Below are 14,197 nucleotides of genomic sequence, written 5' to 3'. Positions count from 1 at the left end.
TAGGCTGAGGCAGGAGAACCGTTTGAACCTGGGAGGCAGAGGTTGCGGTGAGCTGAGATTGTGCCATCGCACTCCAGCCTGGGCAACAAGAGTGAAACTCTGTCTCAAAAAAAAAAAAAAAAAAAAAAAAAAATATATATATATATATATACACACACACACACATATACATATACACACACACACACACACACACACACACATATATACAGAAACACACACACACAAAACCCAGCATTTAGTGCAGTATGCCTTGTGGATTGATTTTAATAAAAATCTCTTATTACGTAGTTTTAAGAATGAATAAGATCTTTGCAGGTTTGAATAAAAACTAAAATATTAAAATAATCTGTTAACTCCTCATTCATCCACTTAAGTCGACAGCATTGTATAAAAGCTAAAGTCTATAGCTTTGTATTTGATTTTGTCATTTAACAGGTTATAACAATCAGTGTTACACTGGGTAGGTTATTGATCATCCAGGTACACCTTCCCAAATATAAAAAGGGAAAAGTCAGAGTCTTACATACTCTTTATTTCCTTGTTTAGTTTTTAAGTGTTCTTTGCTTTCTGTCTTTAATTTTATAGTTCACAGTTTAACTTTTTTAGCACAAGGGAATTTTAAGACAAATATGCTTTGTACCTATATAGGGGCAGGTGCAGAAAATTTACATTTTGATTACTTAAAATGACTCCATCAGCATTCTTGGGTTAAGGACTTATTTTCTAAATTGAATACCCTTATCTTTTAAATTTATCAGCAAATGATAGTCAAAGGCTACTTAAAAATATCTGCAAAGTATAATGTGTGTTCTCAATCACTATGTTTTGGTATTTGAGAATTCATGGCTGTGAACAGAAAGGTATCTTATCTCAGTATCTGAGTGAACTAAGCCTAGTAGAATAATTTTATAGGATATTTAACACATTAGTGATTATGGAAAGCATTTTGTCACTTTAATTACTATCCCTATCACCTAGTGATGTTTAAGACATTTTAGATGCTCAATAAATACTTGAATGAATGAAAGGAAGGTCTCATAGAAAATGTAAAATTGTGCTTGTTCTATTTGAAAATATTGTTTTCCCTTCTTATAACTTATTGCTCCATTTTGTGTCTCATTTAGTTCAGGAGCTAGGAGCTACCTTATGTCCAAAATAGTTTCGTCACATTAAGCTAATTCCCTTTGAACATGCAGTTCAATTTCTTTAATTAGCTTTAAAAATAAGGGTCATTAAATCAGAGTGCCACCATCAATTACTGTGCAAGGGTTTGCCTGTTCAATAATGCATCAGAGCTGTGCTTTAATCAGTATTTCACTGAAAGATTTATGAAAAAGGAGGCCTCTCTAGGTTCCAAACTTGCAATGGAGTCCTATCATGTATAAAAAATTTTTCTTGTGATTGCTATCATGTTTGGTGCTGTATTTCATTGAATGCTCTCAGCATCCTATCTTTGCATTTCATAGTTGGGATCATTTCCAGAGAGTGTTTTACAGCATTTTTGGTAAATTCACAAGAAAAAAAGCACATGTTTTTGTCCTGCAAGAAGAAAATACAAGGTGCATGATTAAAAAAAAAAATTCTGCATTTCTAAGAGGTGCGTCTGTTACAGCAAATTCCCTGAAGAATGGCTTATTTCTTGTTTCTCATTACAATAAGGTGTAGCAAATAAACAAAAAATATGGGAAACTGAACTAGCAATGTATGTCAGTTTAAACAGTTTACCAAAACTAGGGTTGCAAAAGCAGTAGTCATTTTTTCTTACTAACCTAATTTAAGATAACATATATTTTAGCTTTTAAATGATATAATATCCATCAAACATAAGTATTTTGGTCATTTTATTCTTACTGCTATACTGTGTATTGAGAATAAGTCAAAATAACAGAATCATAAAACAGATTTTGATAATCTACCAAAAAATGCTTTATGAAATAAAGTTTGATCCTAAGCAGTCATTTTTGTAGGTAATTACAGAAATACTTATGCAAAAATTGATGGTAACCACTAAAACAAAGCTATTAATATTAACTTTCTTTTCACTTAACAACTCAGAAGGAATAGATGAAATATAAGAAGTGATATTTTAATGCTTTATAGCACATTTAGTTAAATGAATATATGTATTTGAAAATATTCTATTGGGTTAAAATTGAGTGCATTATCATATTGTTATATGGTCAAAATATTATAAATGTTATTATTGAAAAGAAGTATAAGTAATTTATAATCTTGAAATCTCATAATTACATTAGCCTTGTACCAGCATATATCAAAATAGTGTGAAAGTATGGCATAATTATTATTTCCAAAAAAGAATTTGGTATGCAATAAAATGATTAAAAGTTTTAAAAATTTATAATATTTGGGAAGACAAATCTAAATGTATTACAGAGATTAAAATATGTTTGTTGAGGATTCATCTTTACCTGAGCACTTGTTAAAGGACTCCTTCTGGGAATGGGAATTAGCCAGTTGAATCCACATCAACCCTGTGGAGGGCCACACATCACAGTGGTAGACCAACTTTGTCTTCAGTTATTTAGTTCCTGTGCTCTGCATTCATTTTAAGGTGAATGTCTGGTGAATGAACTTTAAATTCATAGTTGCGGATAGACAAGGTGTAGCTTTATGTATACAGGCTGTCGCTACTACTTGCCTTCTTTAAGAGGCGTGTTTTTACATCATTCACTGGAATGCCCCAGAGTTTTTGCTTTGATTATATGTCTTATTTTGCAAACTTTGAAAACTTGAGAAATAACATACATTAAAGGGAAAAAGTGTGCCCAAGGATTTTTTTAACAAATTAAATATACATGTAACCCTCACCGAAATCAAGATATGGAAAATGATCAGCACTCATAATTTGTTTCACCTTTCAGTCAGTCCTAATCCTCCCCTTTAGGAATCACTATTTTGACTTTATCTCGGAGATAAGTATTACTATTTGAATTTTATGTAAATACAGTCTGAGCATATATGCTTTGTGCCTGACTTCTTTGTCTTGTCTTTGTGTCTGTGAGATTCATTTGTATTGTATGTGTAGTAGTAGTTCTTTTTCATTTTCTGTTTGAATATTCTAGAATATACTTGTCCACTCTTCTGTTGATTGCAGCTTTTGGCTGTTATAAATAAATCTGCTGTAAACTTCCTACTACCTATGTTTTAATATTCATAAGTGTGTATTTCTCTTGGATGTTCACTTAAGAGTGATATTTCTGGGTCCTAAGGTATATATTCAGCTTTCGTGGATTCTGCCAAACTGTTTTCCAAAGCGATTATAAGTCCAACTCTCTCACGATATTTAGTGTATGAAAGTTCTTGTGGCTCCACATCAATGCTCACACTTAGTACTACCCACTTTAAATTTATTTTCTCCAATTTTAATGACTCTGGGGGATATGTTATAGTATCATTTTATTGTTTTAATTTGCATTTTCCTGATGAGTAATGATGCTGAGCACCTTTCCATATGGGATTGGTCATTTGGATATCTTCTTTTGGGAAGTTCCTGGTTTTTTTTTTTTTTTTTCCACCCATTTTTCTATTGATTTTTCAGTCTTTTTCTTACTGATTTACAAGAGTTCTTTATATTTCCTGAATACAACTTCTTTGCTGGATATTTGTATTGTAACCATTTTCTCCTTTGTGTTTTGCATTTTCACTCCTTTAATTGTATCTTTTAATGACCAGAAGTTGTTTTTATTTTAAAAACAAATTTTAAATTTTAAAAATAAATTTTTTTCTTTGTGGGTATTGCTTTTTTTTTCTTTTTTGCCCTATATAAGAAACCTGTGGCTACTTCTAAAATACAGAGATTTTCTCTCAGAAGCTTTATTAAAGTTTTACCTTTTAAATTTTGAATGTGGTGTGAGGTAGAAATAAAGTATTTATGTGCATGTGTATGTTTATAAATAATTTTCCATTTGAATATCCATTTGACCCAGAACCATTTATTGAAGAGATCATCCTTTCTCCCTTGCATTGTCACTATTGTTGTAAATCACGGGGTCATATATGTGTGGGTCTGTTTCTAAACCCTATGTTGTGTTCCAATTAAACAAATTTAATCATATCTTGAACAGATTTTTAGAAAACATTTTAGTTTCTAATTGTTTTGCTGGGAAATACAGTTTATTTTTTGGTATTGATTTTACATCCACCAACTTACTAAGTTCACTTATTACAGCTAATGGTTTATTTGTGGATTCATTTGGATATTCAGTACACACAATTATGTGGTCTGCAAATAATTACAGTTTTTGTTTCTTCAATTCTAGTCTTTATACTTTTAATTTATTTTCCTTGCCTTATTGTATTACCTAAAACCTTGGGTCTAATATTGAATAGAAGTGGTAATAGCATGGATTTTATCCATTATTTTTTTTCTCCCATCTTTTGAACTGATCCTGTTTTTCTCCTGTATTCTGTTCATTTTGTGAATTAGACTAAACGATTTTCAAGTGTTAATTCAACCTTACATTTCTGGAATGCCCAACTTGGTCATAATCATTTTCCTCTTTAAGTATCTTTGAATTGAGTTGTTAACATTCTCATTTAGTATTTTTCTATTTATGTTTATGATCTATAGCTTTTCTGTCTAGTATAATCCTTGTTAGAGTTGGCAATTGAGGTTATGTTGGCCTCAAACAAAAAGTAGAGAACAATTCAGCCTTTTTTTGTCACAAAAAATTGATGTTAATTCAGAAAAAAAAAATGGGAAGAATTTACCAGTGAAACTCTCTAAACCTGTTCTTGTTTTATTTTTGCGGGGAGGGGGGATTTTTAATAGTGCATGCAATTTCATTGATAGATATAAAATTACTATTATTATTATTTTTTTAAATAGAGTTGCTCTTTGTCACCCAGGCTGGAGTACAGTGGCTCACTGCAACCTCCACCTCCCAGGTTCAAGTGATTCTCGTGCTTCAACCTCCCAAGTAGCTGAGATTATGGGTGCGTACAACCATGCTCAGCTAATTTTTTGTATTTTTATTAGAGATGGGTTTTTGCCATGTTGGCCAGGCTGGTCTCGAACTCCTGGCCTCAAGTAGTCCACCCACCTCGGCCTCCCAAAGTGCTGGGATTACAGGTGTGAGCCACTGCACCTGGCCAAACTATTGATATTTTGATAAATGTGTTACCAAGGAATTTGTTCATTTCATGTATTTTTTTCCCCATTTTTTTGCATATGGTTATTGCATGCCTGTAGAGTCTAATTATGTTCCTTTTTTTTATTCCCAATGCTGGAAATTTATGTTTGCTATATTAATCAGTATTGTTAGAGGTTTATCAGTTTTATTACTCTCATCTTTGTCTCAAAGATCAACTTTTTGACTTTTTTGAATTTCTTTATTGTATCATTTTCCTGTTTTGTTGATTTTTGCTGCAATATATGTTATTTTCTTCCTTTTCTGATTTGGTTTTCTGTTTTATTTTAGCTTTTTGATTCGGATGCTTAGCTCATTGACATTTTGTCTTTCCTTTTTTTCCCTCTTACATCTAAGTCTAAGTTTCTAAGCATTTATTTAGCTGCATATCCAACATTTCTGGATGTAGTTTGCAGTATATGCAGTATGTCGTATCTTCATTATCATTCAGTTAAAAATTTGTTTTAAATTCCTCCCTCCCGTTTCCCTCCTCTCCCTCTGTTTTGTTTGTTTGTTTTTACTTATATAGATTAACCTAGCTATCCCCACAATCAAGATCAGATCTATTTTATCACCACAAATATCTCCCTTATTCTATTCTTTTATAGTCATATTTAACCACTTTCTTACATTTGTAACCCCTGGCAACCTTTAATTCATTTTCCATCTCTATAATTTTGTCGTTTCAAGAATGTTATAAAAATAAAATCATAATGTATGTGACCTTTAGAAATTGGCTTGTCTTCATGCAGCATAATGCCCTTGATATCTTGAAGTTGCATATATTAATATTTTTCTTCTTTTATTTTTCAGTAGTATTTCTTATTGGATTTACCTACTGAGGGGTATTTTGTTTCCAATTTTTCACTATTATATATAAGCTGCTGTGAGCGATTGTGTATGGATTTTGTGTGGACCTAGGTTTTTATTTCTGTACAATAAATATCCAGGAGTGCAATTGCTAGATTGTATGGTAAATGCATATCTAGTTGTTTTTAGAAACTGCGAAACTATTTTTCAGTGGGGTGTACCATTTTACATTTCCACCAGCAATGTCTGAGCAATCCAGCTTCTCTACATCCTCACCATTCTGATAGGTACGCAGTGATATTTCTTTTTGATTTTAGTTTGCATTTCTTTAATGGCTAATGATGCTAAATTTCTTTTATGTACTTATTTGCCAGCCATATATCCTCTTTCATGAAATGTCTGTCTGTTTTTTTCTGCCCATTTTCTAGTTGGATTTTTTTTACTATTGAATTTTGAGTTTTCTTTATATATTCTAGATATGAGTCATATGTCAGATATATGTATCCTTGACTTATTTGATTCTACTTTAATTAGTACTTTTACCACTTTCCAAAAAATGCAAGGAACTTAAAACACTTCAACTTTATTTACCCTACTCCTACCTTTTGTGCAACTGTATGTACTTTAATTACATATATATTTAAAGCTCTACAAATTTAAATTATTTACTGGTTTAAGGAATTCCTACTGATTTACATTTTTAAACTCCTTTTTGTACTATAATACTTTCTGCATAGGGATCTTCTGAGATTTAATTTTTTTTCTGCCCAAGATTTTACTCTGGTATTTCTTTTATACAAATCTAAGGTAATTGTGTGTGGGGTGGATGGGGGTGTGTGTGTGTGTGTGTGTGTGTGTGTAAGTGTGGTGTGTGGCATGAAAAATCTAGGTTGTCAGGTATTTTTATCTTTTTTTTTTTTTAAATCATCTTGTTAACATCTGACCTTTATTGTTTTTCTTGAGAAGTCAGCTGTTGGTCTTATTGTGCTTTGAAGATTAGATACCTTTTTGCTCTAGTGGTTTTTAAGATTTTCTTTCTGTCTTGGCTTTTAGCTGTTTTGCTATGATATGCCATTCTAGTCAGCCTCTAAGATGGCCAGTATTTCTTGCCTTCTGATATTCATGCTTCTGTATATTCCCCTGTTTAATGTGGGCTGGATACTGCCTTCTTTGCATCAACAGAGTATGGCAGAAGAGTTGGTTTCTTTTTGATACCTTTAAAGTGGTTTATTTATTTGTTTTTAACAGCTTTTATACACATTTTTAATTGTTCTCAGTGGAAAGGTTACTCTGATACAGTTATTCACACAGAGTGACCTTCATTGTATATAGAACTAAAGATAAATTATGTTTTCTTGGATGCTACTCTAGAAACAGCTCTCCTAGCACACCTGCAAATGAGGAACTTCCTAAGAAGATACTGTCCATTTCTTCTGGAAGGCATATTGAATGATACCCAGGGCACTAAACAGTTGTCTATTCAGAGATGCTCTAGTTTGTGTCCTTCGCTAGCTTGTACCAGCTAAATGTGCATTTCTCAAAAAGTCATTTTTAAAGCTATTTGTACCAGTTGTATTTATTTTATAATTGCACAACTTTATTATATAATATACAAATTTATGACAAGTTTTTCTATGAAAATATTTTGATAAACTATATAGGTGAATTGATAAAACAATTATTGGTGAAATTGTTAGTTATGTTAGGTCAAACTGTAAAATATATTTATGATAAAAGATGTTTATGATTATGAAATTTGTTACAGGCTGAGGATCCCGCACACCAATGGCTAATGGCTATGGTATGTTGGCATAGTAAAAAGTATTTGGGCTTATGCTATGGTAAGCAAGATTGAACAAATTGCATGTATGAAGAAATCCTATATACAAATGAATATACATGTGTTTTAAGTTAAAATAAGGTACATATTTTTTCTTTGTTATTTTTTCTGCTTTACTTGACCTTTTGTAGTATGTGAATCAATACTGGTTCTGACTGCATCTTATAAGAGGACTTTTCCTGTACTTTTAAATACTTAGAAGGTGTTTTAGTTTGCCCTTTCACATAGAATTTGCAAACTTTTAAATTGAATAAGTTGTATAATATTTAGGTTATGTTTTAGGTAATAGCACTAATTAAAATCCATAAATTAATATATGTTTATTTGCTAAATACATAAAAGCCCCCTTTAGACTGAAATGTTCAGCCAGAACTTAAACAGAAAACAGATAATTATTTGGTGACTCTTGCTCATTTACTAACAACTTCCATAAATTATACAGAATGTTTATCTGTATATAAAAATTGCCAGATATTTATGTTTTCTTTTGTTTATTTTATATTCTATAAACCAAGGATGAGAATCAAGATCTTTTCATTAAACATTTGTGGCATGACTGCTATGAACAGACCTATCAAGGCAAATAAGATACACTCGTATTCCTCAAAGAGATTATAGTTCAGAAAGCCATTTTAATAAACAATTACAGCATAATCAAAGGTGCCTTTCTGCTTTTTCTTATGAGTATAAATTTGCCAATTTATAAATAAGACTTTTGTATGGTGGTATAATTAAATAATAGTTTTTAAATATGTGATCTCTATAACCTCTGCTTTTACATTTATGTAGACCTCAAGGTCAGGGATGAAGCAGGAGGAGTCATTGACCTTCCTCAAACCTTTAACAAATTAGGAAATGACAATTGATATTAAATACTTTTATACAGTTCTCATTTTGTAATATTTTACTTGTTCTGCTCTCACTCACTTTACTCTTAGAATGCCTGTATACCTACTCTTTCATAATATCAGAGCTTCTCTTTTACCATGAATCTCTTACAGACAGACTCTCTATTCTCGGGATGCGATTTGTTCATTCTGGCTTACCATAGCATAAGTCCAAATATTTTTTCCTATGCAAACATACCATAGCCATTAGGTCTTGGTGTGTGGGATCCTCAGGCTGTCACAAATTTCATTATGCCATCTGCTTCAACCTGAGCTGCGTGTCTTCTGCTGGCAAACTTTATTGAAGTTGCCATGGCTCAGGATAAAAAAAAAATCAATCTTGGCATAAGAAGCTTACTTTTGAAAAAATAATAATTGATCATGCCTGCTATAGATTTTAAAATAAACATTTAAAAGGATTCCCAAAAGTCTCTTCTCAACACATTGATCTCTTTTTCATCTGTGATTGTAGAAAGCTAATATAATGGTTAAGTTATTGGTAACTTTGGTAACTTAATGAGTTTTCTGTTTTATTTTTAAGGATAGGTAACAAACTCTTATGTATAGATTTTGGTGACATATTGTGAAATATTTTGATAGCTTCTGTCAGTGGATGTTCTTTACCTAATGTTTTATTTTAAATGATATCTCAAATGTTTTGTGGATAATACAAGGACTGTATGTTTTCTGTATAATACAAGGATGATAGGAACACCGTGATGAAAAAAAATCTAGGTCACAAACAACTTAGCTGTGTGACTTTACGTAATTTCATCATCCTTAGCATTGAGATGATACTTGAAAGGTTGTTCAGGAGATTGGATCAGAGTTAGATCCTTAAAAAATAGATAAACATTTTTTTTCTGCCAATGTATGTTGAACAACTCTGTATAAGGCATTCTTCTAGAGAACGAGGGCATAGTAAAAATAAAATAGTCAAAAATTTCCACTGGAGAGTTTTTGCATTCTAGTCGGTCTCCACTGACTGGGATGAAAGCTTCATGACAGCAGGGTGTGGATCAGGTGGTAATGAGTGCCATGAATTAAAACAGGGCACAGTAAGTTCGTGGAGTATAATGGTGCTGTCTTAGATAGGAATGCGAAGGAGGACTTTTCTGTGGTGAGATTAGGCACACCTGAATGAAATAAGGAAGCATGTGGATATTTGGGGAAGAATATACCTGTTTGGTAGAGTGAACAGCTTGGCACTTTGAGGCACAGTGAGGAGGGGAGCACAGCTAGGGCTAAGTGGGTGAGGGACAGACTGCTAGGAGATGAGGTCAGAGAGTGACTCAAAAACATCAATGAAGTAAGCTTTCTGATAAGTAGTTACAGATAAAAAGTCACAATCCAGGCACCCAACATAAATATGAAATTAGGATTGACTGCATTGCTTTATTATTATTTAGATTTAACTTCAAACTCTTTTAAAAGGCACACACAAATAATTATAGAATCATTTCCCAAAGTGGGATGATCTTTTCCGTTGTTGTTACGTGTGTCATTGTACTTGGAGTTAGCCAGACAGCACGATTTGAGGGCACAGTCCTCCAGACTGCCAGTGCTGCCCCACACTTCTGATACCAACTGTGGCGAGTTAGGGTCCAGCTACAAAGTTAAAGGTATAAGGATACACAAAACCACCCTCACTTATGATGTCAGCTGCAAATTTGCGAGGTTCCCCTAGCCACCTTGAGGTTTCATAATTCACTAGAAGGTCTTAGAGAGTCTCTGAAATCTGTTAAACTCATGGTTATGATCTATGGTAGGGAAAGGATGCAGTCAAGAGTCAGCCAAAGGAAGAGATGCGTAGTGCAGATTATGGGAGGATTCCAAACTGGAAGCTTCCATTTTGCTGGGAAAGTATAACTCTCCCAGAATCGATGTGTGACAATATGTATAGAGTACAGCCATGTGTCATTAGGTGATTTCATCCTTGTGCAAACATCGTAGGGTATACTTACCCAAACCTTGGTGATATAGCCTACCACACAGCTAGGCTATTTGGTATTGCTCCTAGTCTACCAACCTGTACAGCATGTTACTATATGGAGTACTGTATGCAGTTGTAGCACAATGGTAATTGTCTGTGTTTCTAAATATAGAAAAGGTACAGTAAAAATGTGGTTAAAAGGTAAAAAATGGTACACCTGTATAGGAGACACGTACCATGAATGGAGCCTGCAGGACTGGAAGTTACTATAGGTGAATCAGTGAGTGAGTGGTGAGTGCATGTGAAGGCCTACGACATTACTGTACACTACTAGATAGTCAATATACTGTATGCTACTAGATAGCCAATATAATGGTTGAGTTATTGGTAACTTTGGTAACAATGAGTTTTCTGTTTTATTTTTAAGGACAGGTAAAAAACTCTTATGCATAGAGTTTATACATAAGTTATAAATACTGTACACCTAGGCTATAGTAAATTTACAAAAACTTCCTTCAATAATAAATTAACCTTAGCTTACTGTAACTTTTTTTTCCTTTATAAAGTCTTAATTTTTTTTTAAACTTTTGACTCTCATAATAGCACTTAGCTTAAAGCACAAACACATGTATAGCTGTGTTTGACTGTGTTGCAAACCCAGGAAGATTACCTGATCTTGGTGTTCAGCATTTTTTATTGGCGTGTTATTTCATAGGTGTGATTGATTGCCCTGCCTATATGATTAAAATTCAGCTCCGAGTTTGGGCTTATATCATGTGGCCTTGGGGCCCACCATGAAGAAGAAAGATACCTCATCACTCAGGAAATTCTGAGAGGGGAAATTCTGAGAGTTTAGAGGTTACTTCATAGGATCTGGGGACAGAAAAATATATGTGTGGATGTATATATTTATGGGTGTGTTTTAATGAGTACCCTGAAGTTGAACCCTGGCGGTAGTTTTTGAATTTTCCCATCTAATAAATGGTGCTGCATTGAACATTTAGTGATGCACACACATCTTTGTGTATTATCCTAATGTTCATCCTTGAAATAAATTTCCCAAAATAGAATTGCTGGATTAAAGGATTTGGACATTTTGAAATTTCATTTGTATGTCCTTGTACCCTTGGGATATTTTCTATGAAATAGTTTATGGAATGTCAAAATTCTTAATAATCCCTGCATTACTCTTAGGTAAATATTGCAACTTCAGCAACTTCAAATATTGAATATGCCCACGTTCCTCATCTCAGCCCAGCTGTGATTCCTACTCTGCAAAATGAATCGTTTTTATTATCCCCAAACAATGGGAATCTGGAAGCACTTACAGGACCTGGTATTCCACACATTAATGGGAAACCTGCTTGTGATGAATTTGATCAGCTTATCAAAAATATGGCCCAGGTAAGAACATTTCTTTCTGTTAGTTATTGTAATACCTGTAGTAATTTAAGAATGTGATCAAGTTATGGATAATTTGAAGAATATAGTGACATTTATAACATCTGAAAACATTGGAACAAAAAGTCAGTTTTGTGGGAGTTTAGATGGTTCAGACGTTTTCTATTACAGTTTTATCATCATTTAAATTTGAGTATTATATGTTGTATTATAGAAATATTCTTCAGGATAAAGTGCTAACAATTACCTTGGAAAAATGTTATTCAATTTCTTTTTTTTTTAACAAAGAAATGATTCTGATAAGATGACTGTTACTGCAGTAATTGGCTTTTAAGTTTTTTTTTGAGACATGCCTTGCTCTGTCACCCACACTGGAGTGCAGTGTTGTGATCATAGCTCACTACAGTCCCAAATTCCTGGGCTCAAGGGATTCTCCTGCCTCAGTCTCCTGAGTATCTGGGACTATAGATGTGTGCCACCACACTTACTAAGTTTTATTTTATTTTTTATAGAGATGGGGTCACATTATGTAGCCCAGTCTGGTCCCTAACTCCTGGCTTCAAGTGATCCTCCCACCTTGGCCTCCCAAAGTGCTGGGATTACAGGCGTGAACCACCATGCATGGCCTGGCTTTTAGTTTTATTTCTTGCTTTGTTTCCTAAACAGGGTCGCCATGTAGAAGTTTTTGAGCTCCTCAAACCTCCATCTGGAGGCCTTGGGTTTAGTGTTGTGGGACTAAGAAGTGAAAACAGAGGAGAGCTGGGAATATTTGTTCAAGAGATACAAGAGGGCAGTGTGGCCCATAGGTGAGATGGTCGCGGCGTCTTCTTTGTTTTTGATCCCACATTCTGAAGGTTTTGGTTACTATGCAGGAATTTAGAAAAATAATAATGAATGGCAACAAAAAATTGAACATAATCTGTTATTAACCAGTTTTTAGAAGTCATTAACATTGTTGTGATAAAATAGCAGGTTCTTTGAAATGAGAGTAGCTTTTAGATATAGTCATAACTTAAGTTTTGGTAAGGAAAGAAAAATTTGAGGATAACATTATTTTCATTGTTAATTAAATGGGCTCTTTTTGATTAGATTTTTAAAATTACCATGCTAGAAATGACCCATAATAATTCGAGCTGCATTTTTTTTATGTACCCAGAGCAATAATTTAATATAGTTGCCCCTCAGTATCCATGGGGAATTGGTTCCAGGACTCCTGCAGGTACTAAAATCTGCAGGTGCTCAAGTCCCTTATATAAAGTGGTATAGTATTTGTATATAGCCTGTGCACATTCTCCCATATATTTTAAATCATCTTTAACTTATAATGCCTAACACAGTGCAAATCCTATGTAAACATTAGTAGTCATATTGTATTTTTAAAATTTGTGTGATTTTTTTATTGTTGTGGCATTATTTTTTTTGAGTATATTTGATCCCCAGTTGGGGATCTAATCTATGGATGTGATCCCCAGTTGGGGATCTAATCTATGGATGTGATCCCCAGTTGGGGATCTAATCTATGGATGTGATCCCCAGTTGGGGATCTAATCTATGGATGTGATCCCCAGTTGGGGATCTAATCTATGGATGTGGAACCCATGGATACACAAGGCCAACTGTATAGATATATCCACTTTCATTTTTAGAAGATGAGAATATCCAAGATGTAATGTAGGCTGAGTAGGTAGCTGAAATAAAGAGTACTTTTATATGGGAGGGGTTCAGTAGGAGTAGCAGTGAAATAACCTTACGAGAGTTGATGACCTGCAGCCAAGGCGTGTATTTTTTTTAAAGTAGAACTGCAGGAAAAAGCTTAGAGTGTGGGAATTAAAAATAGGATTAAAAATGACTTGAACATACATGCCAAAGAAGCTGTCATTTCCTTGAGAACTCTCAGATTGTCTTTTATCCCCTTTTGCATCCTTGATAGAGATGGAAGATTGAAAGAAACTGATCAAATTCTTGCTATCAATGGACAGGCTCTTGATCAGACAATTACACATCAGCAGGCTATCAGCATCCTGCAGAAAGCCAAAGATACTGTCCAGCTAGTTATTGCCAGAGGCTCATTGCCTCAGCTTGTCAGCCCCATAGTTTCCCGTTCTCCATCTGCAGCCAGCACAATTTCAGCTCACTCTAATCCGGTGAGTACCTAAAATTTTCAAAAGGAACA

General features: G+C 33.7%; 1 protein-coding gene across 57 annotated transcripts in view; it reads left to right on the top strand.

Annotated features, from left to right (window-relative positions):
• MPDZ (multiple PDZ domain crumbs cell polarity complex component) overlaps positions 1-14,197 on the top strand; it is a 173,986-nt gene that overhangs the window by 43,292 nt on the left and 116,497 nt on the right. For all 57 annotated transcript variants that reach the window (NM_001375425.1, NM_001375420.1, NM_001375419.1 and 54 more), the window contains 3 exons: positions 11,818-12,027; positions 12,691-12,830; positions 13,955-14,168. In NM_001375425.1, coding sequence (NP_001362354.1) covers positions 11,818-12,027; positions 12,691-12,830; positions 13,955-14,168 — 564 coding nt within the window. The remainder of the gene's footprint in view (positions 1-11,817; positions 12,028-12,690; positions 12,831-13,954; positions 14,169-14,197) is intronic.

This window comes from Homo sapiens, chromosome 9 (genome assembly GCF_000001405.40).
Source record: "Homo sapiens chromosome 9, GRCh38.p14 Primary Assembly".
In the NCBI taxonomy this organism is placed as follows: Eukaryota; Metazoa; Chordata; class Mammalia; order Primates; family Hominidae; genus Homo; species Homo sapiens.
This window is presented reverse-complemented; position numbering and strand designations above follow the sequence as displayed.